The sequence below is a fragment of the Homo sapiens genome, chromosome 13 (genome assembly GCF_000001405.40).
Source record: "Homo sapiens chromosome 13, GRCh38.p14 Primary Assembly".
Lineage (NCBI taxonomy): Eukaryota > Metazoa > Chordata > Mammalia > Primates > Hominidae > Homo > Homo sapiens.
Window position 1 is genome coordinate 112766473 of NC_000013.11, and position 13047 is coordinate 112779519.

The following is a 13047-nucleotide window of genomic DNA, read 5'->3' on the forward strand; positions in this document are numbered from 1 at the left end:
GTCCTCCCTGCAGAGCTGCGTCCAGAAGGTGCGTCCCGGCTGAATCTATACTGCAGCCTCAGGTCAGTGACTGGCCCGGCAGTGTCTTCTGGGGTCAGGGTCCTTGCAGGACCACCGTCACATGCTTGCATCCGTCTCCCTGTAAGGGAAGGGGAAGGGGGAGGGTTTCCCTCATTGGCTTCTGCCCACCCCCCAGGATGGGGGCAGAAGCACCTGAGGGAGTCTGCCTCTTCCCTCCATATTCACTGTGCTGAAAGCTGCAGCAGGTGCCCAGTTCTGCAGGAAACAGGCTTTGAACATGGATTCCTGTGAGGAGGATGTGGGGGCGTTGGGGGCCACTGTGGGAAGGTGGGGAGATGTGGGGGTGTTGGGGGCCCCTGTGGGAAGGTGGGGAGGGTGTGGGAGTGCTGGGAGCCCCTGTGGAAAGGTGGGGAGATGTGGGGGTGTTGGGGGCCCCTGTGGGAAGGTGGGGAGGGTGTGGGAGTGCTGGGAGCCCCCGTGGAAAGGTGGGGAGGATGTAGGGGTGTTGGGGGCCACTGTGGGAAGGTGGGGAGGATGTGGGGGCGTTGGGGGCCCCTGTGGGAAGGTGGGGAGATGTGGGGGTGTTGGGGGCCCCTGTGGGAAGGTGGGGAGGGTGTGGGAGTGCTGGGAGCCCCCGTGGAAAGGTGGGGAGGATGTAGGGGTATCGGGGGCCCCTGTAGGAAGGTAGGGAGGATGTGGGGGTGTTGGGGGCCCCTGTGGGAAGGTGGGGAGATGTGGGGGTGTTGGGGGCCCCTGTGGGAAGGTGGGGAGATGTGGGGGTGTTGGGGGCCCCTGTGGGAAGGTGGGGAGGATGTGGGGGCGTTGGGGGCCCCTGTGGGAAGGTGGGGAGGATGTGGGGGCGTTGGGGGCCCCTGTGGGAAGGTGGGGAGGATGTGGGGGCGTTGGGGGCCCCTGTGGGAAGGTGGGGAGATGTGGGGGTGTTGGGGGCCCCTGTGGGAAGGTGGGGAGGGTGTGGGAGTGCTGGGAGCCCCCGTGGAAAGGTGGGGAGGATGTAGGGGTATCGGGGGCCCCTGTGGGAAGGTAGGGAGGATGTGGGGGTGCTGTTGGGAGCCTGGCTATTTGCCTAACCACAGAATATCTGTGACTGTCTGATCATCTGCACATAATTGGCTTTTGAAAGGGGTGTGTGACTCTTTTACTCTGAAGAGAGGACATTCTTCTGATACCCAGTCTCACAATAAAAAGTTGCTACCTTTACTTTCCCCACTTGGCCAATGATATCAGTAGCCACACTGCAAACTCTGAAGTCTCTCAGAGCTCTAGTCTAGGACTCCAGAGCGTGAGTGCGTCTGTGGTGGTGGGCTTGACCTGAGGCTCATCCTTGTCACCTGCTCGGTGGCAGTGCCTGCGTGCAGACCCCTCGCAGCACTCAGGTGTGGCCCGTGGACTTGTGGTTTCGCTGCTGGCTGGGGAACCCCCTCCGGCTCCTCACTTCCCCACCAAGCGCTGGTCACAGAAACGCCCTTCTCTGGTCACTGCTCTCTGGCCTGGCTTGGTGGTGGCTTTGGTGGCAGCCCCGTCACCCCTGGGATCCGTGTCCTCCTGTTTCTTTCGTTTCTCCTGAAGGTTTTCCAAGTGCCTGTTTGCTTCTGGGAATTTCCTCTCTGCCTTCCTCCGACTTCCTCATAGCCGTTCTTTTATTCCGGCCTCCCAAGATTGCGTGGAGCCCGGCCACTGCCAGGGCGGCCCTGTGATGAGCTACATGGGACACAAGAGGCAGCCCCAGGCGCCCGCCTCCACCTCTACCAGCAGCGTCTTCGCTTTCACTTCTGCCTTCTGCGGCGTCTTCCTCTGTGGAGTTGGCGTCGGCCACTGGCTGTGGGGCAACCTCAGCCTCTCCAGCGGACGCTGCACCATCCCTATGGTGGAGTCTCAGCTTTGGGGATCCAGGGTGCCTGCCGGATTTCAGACAGCGCATTCACAGACTGTCGCCAGCTGAGCCGCCCTGGTGTCTGGAGTTGTTCTGTGTATGCTGTTATCCAGTTACTGACTCGCAGTCCTGCAGTTGTCTTCATTAGATATATATTCAATATTTTGGAAATATGCCTACAATGCATTCGTTGTCTCGGCCAGTGGCTCGTGACCCTCTGCACTTGGAAGGTATATAATTTCCGTTGCTTAAAAGGCGACACGTATACTAACATGTTTGTTTGTGAATTGGGATATGCTTGCTTAGTTTTCTGGCTAATTCATCTTTAGAAGGAGGGACTCAGTCGTGGGGAATAAACGCAGCGACCCCTCGGTGTTCCCGCTGGGCTCGTGGGTGACGCAGTGTTTTCCGGTGGCTTGGGAAGAATCTGGAGGTCGGGTGCTGAGGCTTGAGCGTCTCTCCTGTAGGTTGGTTTCGCCCGGTCCTCAGGGCGGAGTTGCTGCTCATTCTCATGCTGGGCCTGTTTTCCGATTCCTGGTGCTCTCTTGTCTTCACCTGCAGTTCACTTGCGGGCAGTGGAGGCTGCACTGTGACGTTAGTAACTGTGAAGGTGTGACCCATGGTGGAAAGTTGGTTATGTCTGTGATTGATGGGGAGGTGTTTGTGGTCGGGGGTGGAACTGCTATGGGGGGAAGGTTTGCAAGTCGGGAGACGGGAGCAATGACAGGGCCCCATGGGCTGCCCCCCGGCTCCTCCTTCCAGGCTCCTACCCTTCCCCATGCCCGGCCTCCCCCACTTGCCTTTCTCTTCTTGAGTCAGCACCACTACTCACACCCCTGAGCGTGTGCCAGGGCTGAGCTCCAAACCGGGCACAGGACCTCCCGGCCCCACGGCGTGCCTGCAGCCCCGCCCTCCTCTCTGAGGCTCAGAGGCACAGCAGGTGCAGCACAGCCTTGGCCCTGAGGCTCCCAGCATGGTTGTCCCGGCCAGTGGCTTGTGACTCTCTGCCCGCTGCGTTTGGGGGTGAACTGAAGGAGCCCGTGACCCGGGTCCCTGGCAGCTGTGGCCTCTTTGCTGCGCTTCCTCTTTGGCCAGAGCCAAAACCAGGTTCTCTTCTGCACACTGGAGCAGGGACCTTGGCCTCAAATTCTAATGCCTGAGTTTATAGTTCTCCCAACTTCCCCAGAGCCGGCCCATAGCTCAGTCATGTGAACCTCGACACCACCCTGGTTTTCCAGGTGAGATGAGCCTCAGTGACAGGCAGAAACACGTGGCCATGAGGAATGCACCAGCCTGAGTCTAAGGGAAAGCTGCCGATTTCTAGCACTGATTTGCAGAGGGGTGGGCGAGCCTGCCCAGTGCCCTGTGGTGAAGAGGAGTCTCTGTCCTGAGAGAGGCACCGTGAAGGCACCGTGCTGAGGCCAGCCTCAGAGCCGCGGGGAAGCCAGGTCTGTCTGATCGCTTCCCAGCACTTCCCGTGCCATCCCACGCGGCTGTAAATGGACACACGTTAGCCACAGCTGCTGCTTCACAGGCAGCCTGGTCAGAAACGTACTCCTGTCGAAAATGGAGGGTGAATCGCATGAAATCAGCGTTACGTTTGCTCCTGCTGCATTTCATGAGTCCAGCGGAGTCTGTTCCAACTGCACCCCCCAATCCTGGACGTGCTGTGGGCTCCAAGCGATGCTTTGGTCACCGGCTCTTTTCCTCTGTGTCTCGACTCTTAGGAAGCTCTGTGTTTCTTCCCACTGTTGTGAACTATCAGAATTAGGCATTCCAGAGTAGGCCAAGAATGATTTGGGGTGAGAATTTATATTTTTATTTCAGTTCTGGACCCAGTAAACTATGGTCTAGGTCCGCTGGCACCCCACATTTCCCAGGTCGACTGTGTTTCCAGATCAAAGGGATGTCCCTGTGCTTTTGTGGATCATTGTGACCCAAGTGATTTTGTGCAAAAAATATCTTCATGGCAGGAGAATGCCACTGAGAGCCTTGAAAATACCTGAGATTTGTTTGAGGAAGAAAAGAAAAAAGGAAGGAGAGAAATCCAGTCGTTACCATGAGTGTGACGAGAGTGGGGAGAACCAGTGGAGCTTCTGATCCTGTCCCAGCAGATGCCAGTGGCTCGGACCAAGGAGGACAGAGGGATGGGCGTGCCCACGTGAAGCCTCACCCCAGACCCCAGACCCTGCTTACATGCCGGGACGAAGGTGGGAGAGAACCGTGCATCTCAGCACGGCGGTGGAAACGTGGTCCACCTGCGGAGGGCCTGTTTGCGTTTATTACACCCGAGCAAGGCCCGCACGCCCACCAGAGGGGCCAGGGTGCCCCTGGGAGCCACTGAGAGACGGGGGAGGCACAGGCTCCACGCGCCGCTTCCCTGGACTGCTAGGAGGCGGCGATGGCGAGTCAGGAGGAAGCCTATTTTTAGAAACGCTTAAGTGCCCACGATCTTCTGACCATCAAACAAGAAACGTTGCTGTTTGAAGCTATACACGGACGGCAGAACAAGAAGTGGCTGTGTCACTGGATACCTGTACATTTGAATACCGGCCATTAGGGAGAATCGCCCTGTAAACATTGATCCAGTGATTGAGGCCGGTCGGCTTGCTTCTGTTCTGCCCCGCGGTGTAATTCAGCTAATAGGTTTTGTTTGTCTCAGCTGAAATGTGAAACTTCCATTAGGTGTCTAACCCTGGCTAAAAGTGGTTTTCAGCCTATTTTTAAAAAATCTCCTTTGTCCCTGCATGCATTCTAACCCCATTCTAACCTGATGCGGGCAGCCACAACCCAGGCCCTAACAGAGTTCATGGTAAGGATGGTGAAGGCGTGACCCACGGTGGAAAGTTGGTTATTTTGGGTAATCCAGCGATTTTCTGATTGAACTTCGAATGCGGAAACATCTTGCCCTTACTGGGGCAACGAGGGGAGGCAAGGCGTGCGCCAGGCAGAGACACCTTGGAATCCCACCCAGCCCAGATGTGTCTCCTGGGTTCTGGGACGGGCGCAGGTGACTGTATTTGCGCTGGTGGGAGGAGTTGCCCCCTTGGTTAAATCCGGAGGACACAGCTGCATGGTGCTTGCCCTCAGCCGTTTCTCTCTTCTTACTTTGAGAATAATCTCTTTTTTTTCTAGTTTCTCTTTTCTTAGGCATACTCCTTTGGAAACTTACTGGGCTCACTTTTACCCACTATGAGACCCTATCTGTCATGAGTAGTGCAAGGTTAGAGATAACCAGGTCCACATGCACTTGTGTCTTTCTGTAGTGTGAGGCCTTTGTTGACGTTATTTCAGTCACAAAAGCCGGGAACTGCTGGTGCTTCCCGTCACTCGGGTAGTCCCAGCCGCGGGCACACAGGCTCAAGCCACTCCTCACATCAGTCAATGTTGTAAACCATAGTAATAGTATACCTAATCAATACATAAATGTTATAAACACTCCACAACAAACAAAGTAACATTTAATATCAAGAGAAAAAGGGAGATAGGAGGAAACGTTAATGAACCAGTCCGGTGGGGAGTGAAGCAGACACCGGGAGCCCTGGGCTGGGCGGGGTGGTCCGTGGTCTTACGAGGAGGACTCAGGTGGCAGAGCCTGCGGGGCAGATGCCAAGTTCTTATCACAAGTGACTGCGAGGCGGCAGCGGCTGAGGCAGAGTCCTCCCATGAGAACTGAGTGCTTTTTGTGTCCTTACCTGGTTGGATACTGTCCTATTTTTTTTAATTTGTTTATTAAGCAAATCACCTTATCTTTGTTGGCAAAGTGCCCTATGAAATGTAAAACAAAGTCTTTTTCTAAGACGGAGTTTATTATGTCAACAGTGCTCTATATACTATATATAAAAACTAAACTTTAAAAATGTTGCTGACACGAAAATTGAGAGAAGCCTACGTTTGTGCAGAAGATGGGCAGGTAGAAGGTTCCAGCGGTGAGGGGTGCTGACCTGGAGCGGCTGCGGTGGGGCCATGTGGCTGGAAGCAGGGCAGTGAGCAGTGCTCAGCCTGTCGCGAGTGTGTAGGAAGAGAGCTTTGTTGAAATATAACTTACATATCATAAAATCACCCACTTAAACAATTTGATGAGTTTTATTATATTTACCAAGCTACACAACATCACCACAATCTAATTTTAAAACATTTTCATCACCCTCAAATGAAACCCCATGCCCAGTACCAGGCCCTCCCAAGTGCTTGTCATCACCCTCAAATGAAACCCCGTGCCCAGTACCAGGTGCTCCCAAGCCCTGTCCCCAGCTCCCCTCCCGTCATGCCCCAGCCCAGCCCTGGGCAGCTGCTAATGCACCTTCTGTTGCCCGCAGATTTGCCCGTGTGGACGCTTCTCGTGGATGGAGTCAAGCAGCCTGGGGCTTTGTGACTGGCTCTGCCACTTGGCGGGGTCACCCCGCATTTCCCTGGTGACTAAGGGTGCTCTGCGTCCTCTCCTGGGCTTGTTGGCCATTTGCAGGTCTCTAGAGAAATTCCGCCTTGTCTTTTCTATTTTTGAGTTTGAATCATTCTGTATATATTCCAGGTACAATCTCTAATTGTTTATGATTGGCATCTGATCACGGATGCTCCATGTAGGGAATGGCTCTGCCATGAAAGCCCAAGAACCCTGAGTGTGTCCACGTGGGCCATACAGGGAAGGCCTGGTCCATGGTGATCTCTGTCTGGGAGGGACTCAGGAGCCTCCCAGAGCCCCGAGGGCTGTGGCCTGTGAGGTGCTCCCTTGTGCCATGGCCCATCCATCTCTCTCCCCAGAGGGTGCCATGAGGCTGTTTCTCATCGCCTCTGGGTTCTGATGAGCTGTGGCGCCTCCTGCCCTGCCCTGCCCTGCCCTGCCCCACCATCGCCACCCTCAGAACAGAATGCAGGCTGTAAACCGCTTAGTGGTGGCCTGGATTGGCCTGCAGCAGTTTGCGTGGTGTCACCCTGCCCTTCTGTTTTCATGTATTTTAATTTATTTGCTGCTTAATCTGAGCAAAGGAAATGCCGCCTCTCTCTGTATCGACCAAACCCACCATGGCTTTCTCTTCCCACGGGTGAGTCTTGCTTTCCCGAGCTGTACGGGTCCCAAGCCGATGCCAGGCATTCAGCCAGTGGCCAGGAGTCCTTCCCCACTCTCCCTGCCCTCTGAAAGAGCAAATGAAGGGAATCCTTGAACCTCTGGGAAGCTGTAGCCCTTTTGTAAATGTGCAGCCCTGTGGCGGATGGGGGTCCCAGGAAAGGCCCAGGGCTTTGTCTGCAGAAACAGCTTTTTCCTGTGCTCTTTTGGGTAACTGGTCCTTCCTCAACACTGTTGATAGCAGCTGTGGCGCTGGGCTCCATGCAGCCTGCAGCAGAACAGGGTGTTTTTAGTCGTGGTGCCCTCTGTGTGGCACCTGCCAACGCCCCGCGTGTGTGAGTGGCGATCTGCGTCTGTGGGTGACGCGCATCACGGGGTGTGGAGAGGTGCACCTGTGCGGGATTTCCACGCCACCTCCACCCTCCACCCTCCACCCTCCACCCCACCTCGTGCCTTCCCAGGGAAGTCCTGCCTGTGCCTCTGCTGCCTTGGGAAGAGAAGGGGTCCCGGAGGAACTCACAGAGCGGTGGAAGGCATCAAAGAACCTCAGCTCCTCAAACACAGTGCCCGCTGCCTCCCTGCTTCCCGTCCACCTCACGGGGAACTAGGAATTCCCTCCTGTGTCTGGCGGAGAGAGAACCTGGCTAAGCATTGCGGCCGAAGGTTGCAGCCTCCTAGGAAATGTCCAATACAAAGGATAGACTGCAGGCTATTTTGATTTTACTCATTTTTTAACAGAACTTTTATGAAAGCAGATTTTACTTGGGTCTGGTGCCAGGATTTGTCTTTACTTGTCACATCAGCTGATGCCTCCCAGGTTTCGTAAGTCATCTGTTCTAAACTGGAAGCCAGGTGTCTTACATCAAAGCTTCCGGTATCTCCAGTTGCAGAAATTAGAAGAGGGTGGTTGAGGACCATGTCTTCCTGGGTGACGCCCTTGAGAAGATGTCACACCTGGGCCCTGTTTATTATATTTGGAGAAATGGGAGACGATGATACTTTAGAGGAACACAGATCCCATTCCAGCAACTATTTTAATCAGGGACTCTCAGGGGAGGGTGAGATTCCAACTTACAAATTGCAAATGTGCGATGTGCTGCACCCACTCACAAAAGACGTGTACCAGATCACAGTTGCGGCTCATTTCAAGGTAAAGCAGCCCTGAAAGACATGCAGAACCAGAGCGGTTGCAAGACCCAGACTGAGCAGACAGGGGAGGCTTCGCCTTCCTGTGTTTGCATGCACAGCCCGGACTGCATGGTGACTTACAGTGTATTTCTCATCCCAGGTCACAGTCTCAGAGTGTGAGAGCCCTGGGTCTCTGGGTCAGGTCTGAATGAACGCTCTTTCCTATGGGCCTTTTCCTGTCACTGCCCTGTGTATGTCAGACTGGCTAAGCAACACACATGTCTACCGGCATCGGTGAAGAGCGTCGTTGGCGTGCGAGGCTGTGTGTCTGAGCAGCTCCTCCCACCTTCCCCCGTCACGGGAGCCGCAGAGTTGCAAGACCCTGGGGAATGGAGGCTTTGTTGTTCGGTGGGTCCCACTTCATCGGGGTAGGCGGCAAGGCCAGCGGGCTGCAGCGTGTGCCTCGGATGTGGCGTCTGAGGGACAGCGAGTGGGTTGCCCGCAGGGGCCTTGCTTGCACTGGCTTAGAGAGCTAACAGCGTTTGGTGGGACTCAGTTTATCGTTCTTTCCCTGCTTTGAGGCAGGCCCTTGATGTGCAGGTGAAGTGCCCGTGGGCTGGCCGCGTAGCTTCCAGGTGTTTCTTCTTCCAGTGGGGTTGGCAGAACACGGCGTGAAGCTCTGCTGTGAAGATGCCGAAAACAGCGCCCCTCTCTGCTGAAGGGCTCGTTATCCGACTCTGCCTTAGCCCCGTCCTCTTCCTTCCTACCACACAGCGGGAGGCATGGGATGCACACAGGCGGGCTTCCACAGTCGGGGGGCCGCTGACAGGAGGAACCCCTCCCAGCAGCTTCAGGGTGCTTTTGGCCCAGCAGCCTGGGGCCTCCAGGACATGCCTCCTCTAAAGGGGTGTTAGGTAACTGCAGTTTTCTCCTCTCCTACTTACCGTTGCCAGAGTTTTTAAAAAGAAGGAGGCGAATACTTTCAAATGACTTATATAAAAATCTATATTTTAAATTTATTTCTGTAAGAAAAAAATTGGTTGGTACAAATATAGCAAAAATGTTAACATTTGTGAGATCTGGGTGATTTATTTCCTTACTCCAGTTTTCTGCACGTTTGAATTATTTCATAATGCCCCCCCCGCCTGTAAGTGGGTGTATCTGGAGAGGTGTCATCCTTCCTGAAGAGGGACAGTGGCTGAGCCACTTGTGACCAGGGAAGCCCAGCCCACACCTCCACGGCCCTGGCGCAGGGCGGGCGCGACTTAGTTCACGACAACCTAGTTTCTGCCCCCAGTTCCAACTTGGGGTCAGCCAGAGAACAGCAAGTACGCCCCCGTCCCCTTCTCCCCTTGCCAGCCCCACAGGCTGCTGCGCCTCCCGGGCGTGAGCCCACGCCGTCAGGCCCACAGCTGCCCTCCCAGCCCTCTTCCCCGGACCCCTTCCCGCCTCCCTGGCCCGGCTGGAGTCCCTGGGAGCCCGTGGAGGCGGCTGACCTGCAGGCTCGGAGTCCGTGGCTGCTGCTGCTTGTTCCAGTGGCTGTCGTTTGTTTCCACGGGGATTCATGTTGACATCTGTTACTCGTCCTCAAGTGAGCCCGTCTGCATGAAGGCACACCTTGGGGCTGCTGAGTCAGCCACATCCTTGACAGTTCCCCACAGCCCCTGTAGTGTGTCCTGTGTGTGAGCAAAAGCGCAGGCCAGATCCCAGACCCTCCTTCCATCCCCGGACTGGGCGCATTGGAGCAAATTCCTCCATGCTGCCTGCTCCGTCCTCTCCCTTGCCCTGTTCCTTTCCATGCTTTATTAACGGGGAAATGTGGGGAGGGTCAGAGGGCCAGTGAGGCCAGTGCTGCCCCTCAAAAGGCAGGTGTCTATGCTGCGTGACACTGAACGCTGCCTAAACCATCTGGATAATTGATCGGGTGTGAGTTTGCACGCTGTGCTCCGGCCTGCCTGGCGATGGTTCTGGGTTTGGTGTTGCGCTCTGTCAAGTAGGAAGTGATAGTAAATTCTATTTTATTTATTTATTTTTTTGAGACAGAGTCTCAATCTGTCGTCCAGGCTGAAATGCAGTGGCACTGTCCTGGCTCACTGCAACCTCCACCTCCCAGGTTCAAGCCATCCTCCTTGCCTCAGCCCCCCAAGTAGCTGGGACTACAGGCATGTGCCACCACTCCTGCCTAATTTTTGTATTTTTAGTAGAGACGAGGTTTCGCCATATTGGCCAGGCTGGTTTCAAACTCCTGACCTCAGGTGATCCACCCACCTTGGCCTCCCAGAGTGCTGGGATTACAGGCTTGAGCCCCCGCGACCAGCCGAGATGACCTGTCGGGTGAGAGGCTTCAGCTCCTGGCCTGAGATTAATATCTGACCAAATGCTGTGGTGCACACTGAGAGTGTCGCATCGTAGATCTTCTGAAACGCAGCGTCTTGCCCCTTGAGCCTCTCTGCACCGCGGGTTTGGAGTTCATGCTCCTGTGGCAGTGGCCTCAGGGGTGTTTGCTCCTTAGGGAAATTTTCCTCGACCACTGAACACAGGTCCTGGGCACCTGTCAGAAAGCCACACTGCCAGGCACCACCAAGCTCAGGCGCTGGCACCTGTCAGAAAGCCACACTGCCAGGCATGTGCACAAAGACTGTGTGTTTTCAGGCAGCAGTGGATCAATCCCAAATGTCAAAACTATCTTTAAAAAAATAACTAAGGCTGGGCATGGTGGCTCACGCCCGTAATCCCAGCACTTTGGAATGCTGAGGCGGGCAAATCACCTGAGGTCAGGAGTTTGAGACCAGCCTGGCCAACACGGTGAAACCCAGTCTCTACTAAAAATACAAAAATTAGCCAAGTGTGGTGGCATACACCTGTAATCCCAGCTACTTGGGAGGCTGAGGCAGGAGAATGGCTTGAACCCGGGAGGCGAAGGTTGCAGTGTGCCGAGATCACGCCATTGCACTCCAGCCTGGGGGACAAGAGCAAGACTTCGTCTCAAAAAATATATATAATAACATAATAATTAAGGGAAGGAGCCACAGAGGCTGCCCAGGTAGCTGCATTGATGCAATTTGTGGTGACATTTTCTCTGAGGCTGCTGTGCTGTGCGGTTACAGCTGCCCCTCTGCGAAGCCCCCTCCCGCTGGAAGGTGGGTGGGAAGGCTGCCGGAAGGCTGCCAGGATGCTGTGCGGTGCCAGGTCCTGAGCACACATATCAGGAGAAGGGATGTGAGACTTCCTCCCCCGTGGGCTCCATGCAGCCAGGAAGCCCTGCCGCTCCCTCCCCATGCGCTCCCCACACGCCGCTCACCGTGCCTTTCTCCCCCAACGCCAGATGTGGAATTCCTCTCGGAGGTGCTCTTATGGCACCCTGCACGGAGAGGCCTGGGCCTGGCCCCGAAGAAGGCACAGCCCATGTGCAGGCGCCTCTGTCTGGAAGGCATGCTGCGTCCATTTTACTGTTTCCCCAACCCTGTGGCACTCCTTCCTGTTCCTTCTTCTACAGTCTTCCGTGTGAATCGTGGAAATGAGTCAGATGGGCATGTTTAACATCATACCACACATACCTTTTGCAAAAATGTATTTTTTAGCGGCCAGGTGAGCAGCTGATGTGGTGGACAGAAAGCTCACCGGAGGCCCCAAGGCCTTGCAGCCTCCACGTGCCTCTCATCAGTGTGTGAGGTGCAGTAGGCGGAGGTTTGCTGAGCTTAGCGGCTCTGTGAGAGGAGGTCGTCCAGGTCAGCGGCTTTGAAAGCCCCGGCACACTCCAGCTCCCATGCAGTTATGCTGTGTAAGAAATGGCAACAGGGCCAAAACCTTGTAACTCTCTTCAGAGTTGGACGTAAAACACTGAGGTAGCTAGAAATACATTCTAAGTTGAGGTAATTTGGGGCATGGTGGCATGCCTGCAATCTCAGTGCTTTGGGAGGCTGCACAGGGAGCATTGCTTGAGCCCAGGAGTTCAAGGCTACGGTGCACTGTAACTGTCCCTGTGAACAGCCGCTGGAGTGAGTAGCCACTGGAATGAGTAGCCGCTGGTTTGAGGAGTAGCCACTGGAGTGAGTAGCCGCTGGAGTGAGGAGTAGCCGCTGGAGTGAGGAGTAGCCACTGGAGTGAGTAGCCGCTGGAGTGAGGAGTAGCCGCTGGAGTGAGTAGCCGCTGGAGTGAGGAGTAGCCACTGGAGTGAGGAGTAGCCGCTGGAGTGAGTAGCCGCTGGAGTGAGGAGTAGCCGCTGGAGTGAGTAGCCGCTGGAGTGAGGAGTAGCCGCTGGAGTGAGTAGCCGCTGGAGTGAGGAGTAGCCACTGGAGTGAGTAGCCGCTGGAGTGAGGAGTAGCCACTGGAGTGAGTAGCCGCTGGAGTGAGTAGCCGCTGGAGTGAGGAGTAGCCGCTGGAGTGAGTAGCCGCTGGAGTGAGGAGTAGCCGCTGGAGTGAAGAGTAGCCACTGGAGTGAGTAGCCGCTGGAGTGAGGAGTAGCCGCTGGAGTGAGTAGCCGCTGGAGTGAGGAGTAGCCCCTGGAGTGAGGAGTAGCCACTGGAGTGAGTAGCCACTGGAGTGAGTAGCCGCTGGAGTGAGTAGCCGCTGGAGTGAGGAGTAGCCACTGGAGTACGAGTAGCCGCTGGAGTGAGGAGTAGCCACTGGAGTGAGTAGCCGCTGGAGTGAGGAGTAGCCACTGGAGTAGCCGCTGGAGTGAGGAGTAGCCGCTGGAGTGAGGAGTAGCCACTGGGGTGAGTAGCCGCTGGAGTGAGGAGTAGCCGCTGGAGTGAGGAGTAGCCGCTGGAGTGAGTAGCCGCTGGAGTGAGGAGTAGCCGCTGGAGTGAGTAGCCGCTGGAGTGAGGAGTAGCCACTGGAGTGTGTAGCCGCTGGAGTGAGGAGTAGCCGCTGTGCTTCAGCTGGGACAGGGCAGCAATACCCCATCTTTAAAAAAAGTAATTAATTATTGTTTAAAAGTAAA

General features: G+C 55.5%; 1 protein-coding gene and 1 long non-coding RNA gene across 14 annotated transcripts in view, besides 4 other annotated features; one reads left to right on the plus strand and one right to left on the minus strand.

Annotated features, from left to right (window-relative positions):
- The window catches only part of ATP11A (ATPase phospholipid transporting 11A), a 197131-nt gene that overhangs the window by 76435 nt on the left and 107649 nt on the right, over positions 1 to 13047 (plus strand). The gene's annotated exons all lie outside the window — the stretch shown is intronic.
- Positions 1537 to 1866: an enhancer, noted in NCBI's record as "active region_8033". NCBI's record gives its function as "activates an Ori minimal core promoter by ATAC-STARR-seq in GM12878 lymphoblastoid cells {active_cell/tissue: GM12878}" and the evidence as "EXISTENCE:reporter gene assay evidence [ECO:0000049][PMID:35858748]".
- Positions 4201 to 4756: an enhancer, noted in NCBI's record as "NANOG-H3K27ac-H3K4me1 hESC enhancer chr13:113424987-113425542 (GRCh37/hg19 assembly coordinates)". NCBI's record gives its function as "activates a minimal SCP1, AML or CMV promoter by ChIP-STARR-seq in naive H9 embryonic stem cells {active_cell/tissue: H9 hESC(naive)}" and the evidence as "EXISTENCE:reporter gene assay evidence [ECO:0000049][PMID:30033119]".
- LOC124903253 (uncharacterized) lies at positions 7688 to 8380 on the minus strand. Its single transcript, XR_007063948.1, has 3 exons — positions 8247 to 8380; positions 8053 to 8138; positions 7688 to 7938 (listed from the first exon to the last, which is right to left on the minus strand). It is a non-coding gene; the product is annotated as an uncharacterized LOC124903253 (long non-coding RNA).
- Positions 9930 to 10543: an enhancer, noted in NCBI's record as "H3K27ac-H3K4me1 hESC enhancer chr13:113430716-113431329 (GRCh37/hg19 assembly coordinates)". NCBI's record gives its function as "activates a minimal SCP1, AML or CMV promoter by ChIP-STARR-seq in naive H9 embryonic stem cells {active_cell/tissue: H9 hESC(naive)}" and the evidence as "EXISTENCE:reporter gene assay evidence [ECO:0000049][PMID:30033119]".
- Positions 12159 to 12308: a silencer, noted in NCBI's record as "fragment chr13:113432945-113433094 (GRCh37/hg19 assembly coordinates)". NCBI's record gives its function as "represses an EF-1alpha promoter that drives an FKBP-Casp9 reporter gene in an ReSE screen in HepG2 liver carcinoma cells {active_cell/tissue: HepG2}" and the evidence as "EXISTENCE:reporter gene assay evidence [ECO:0000049][PMID:32094911]".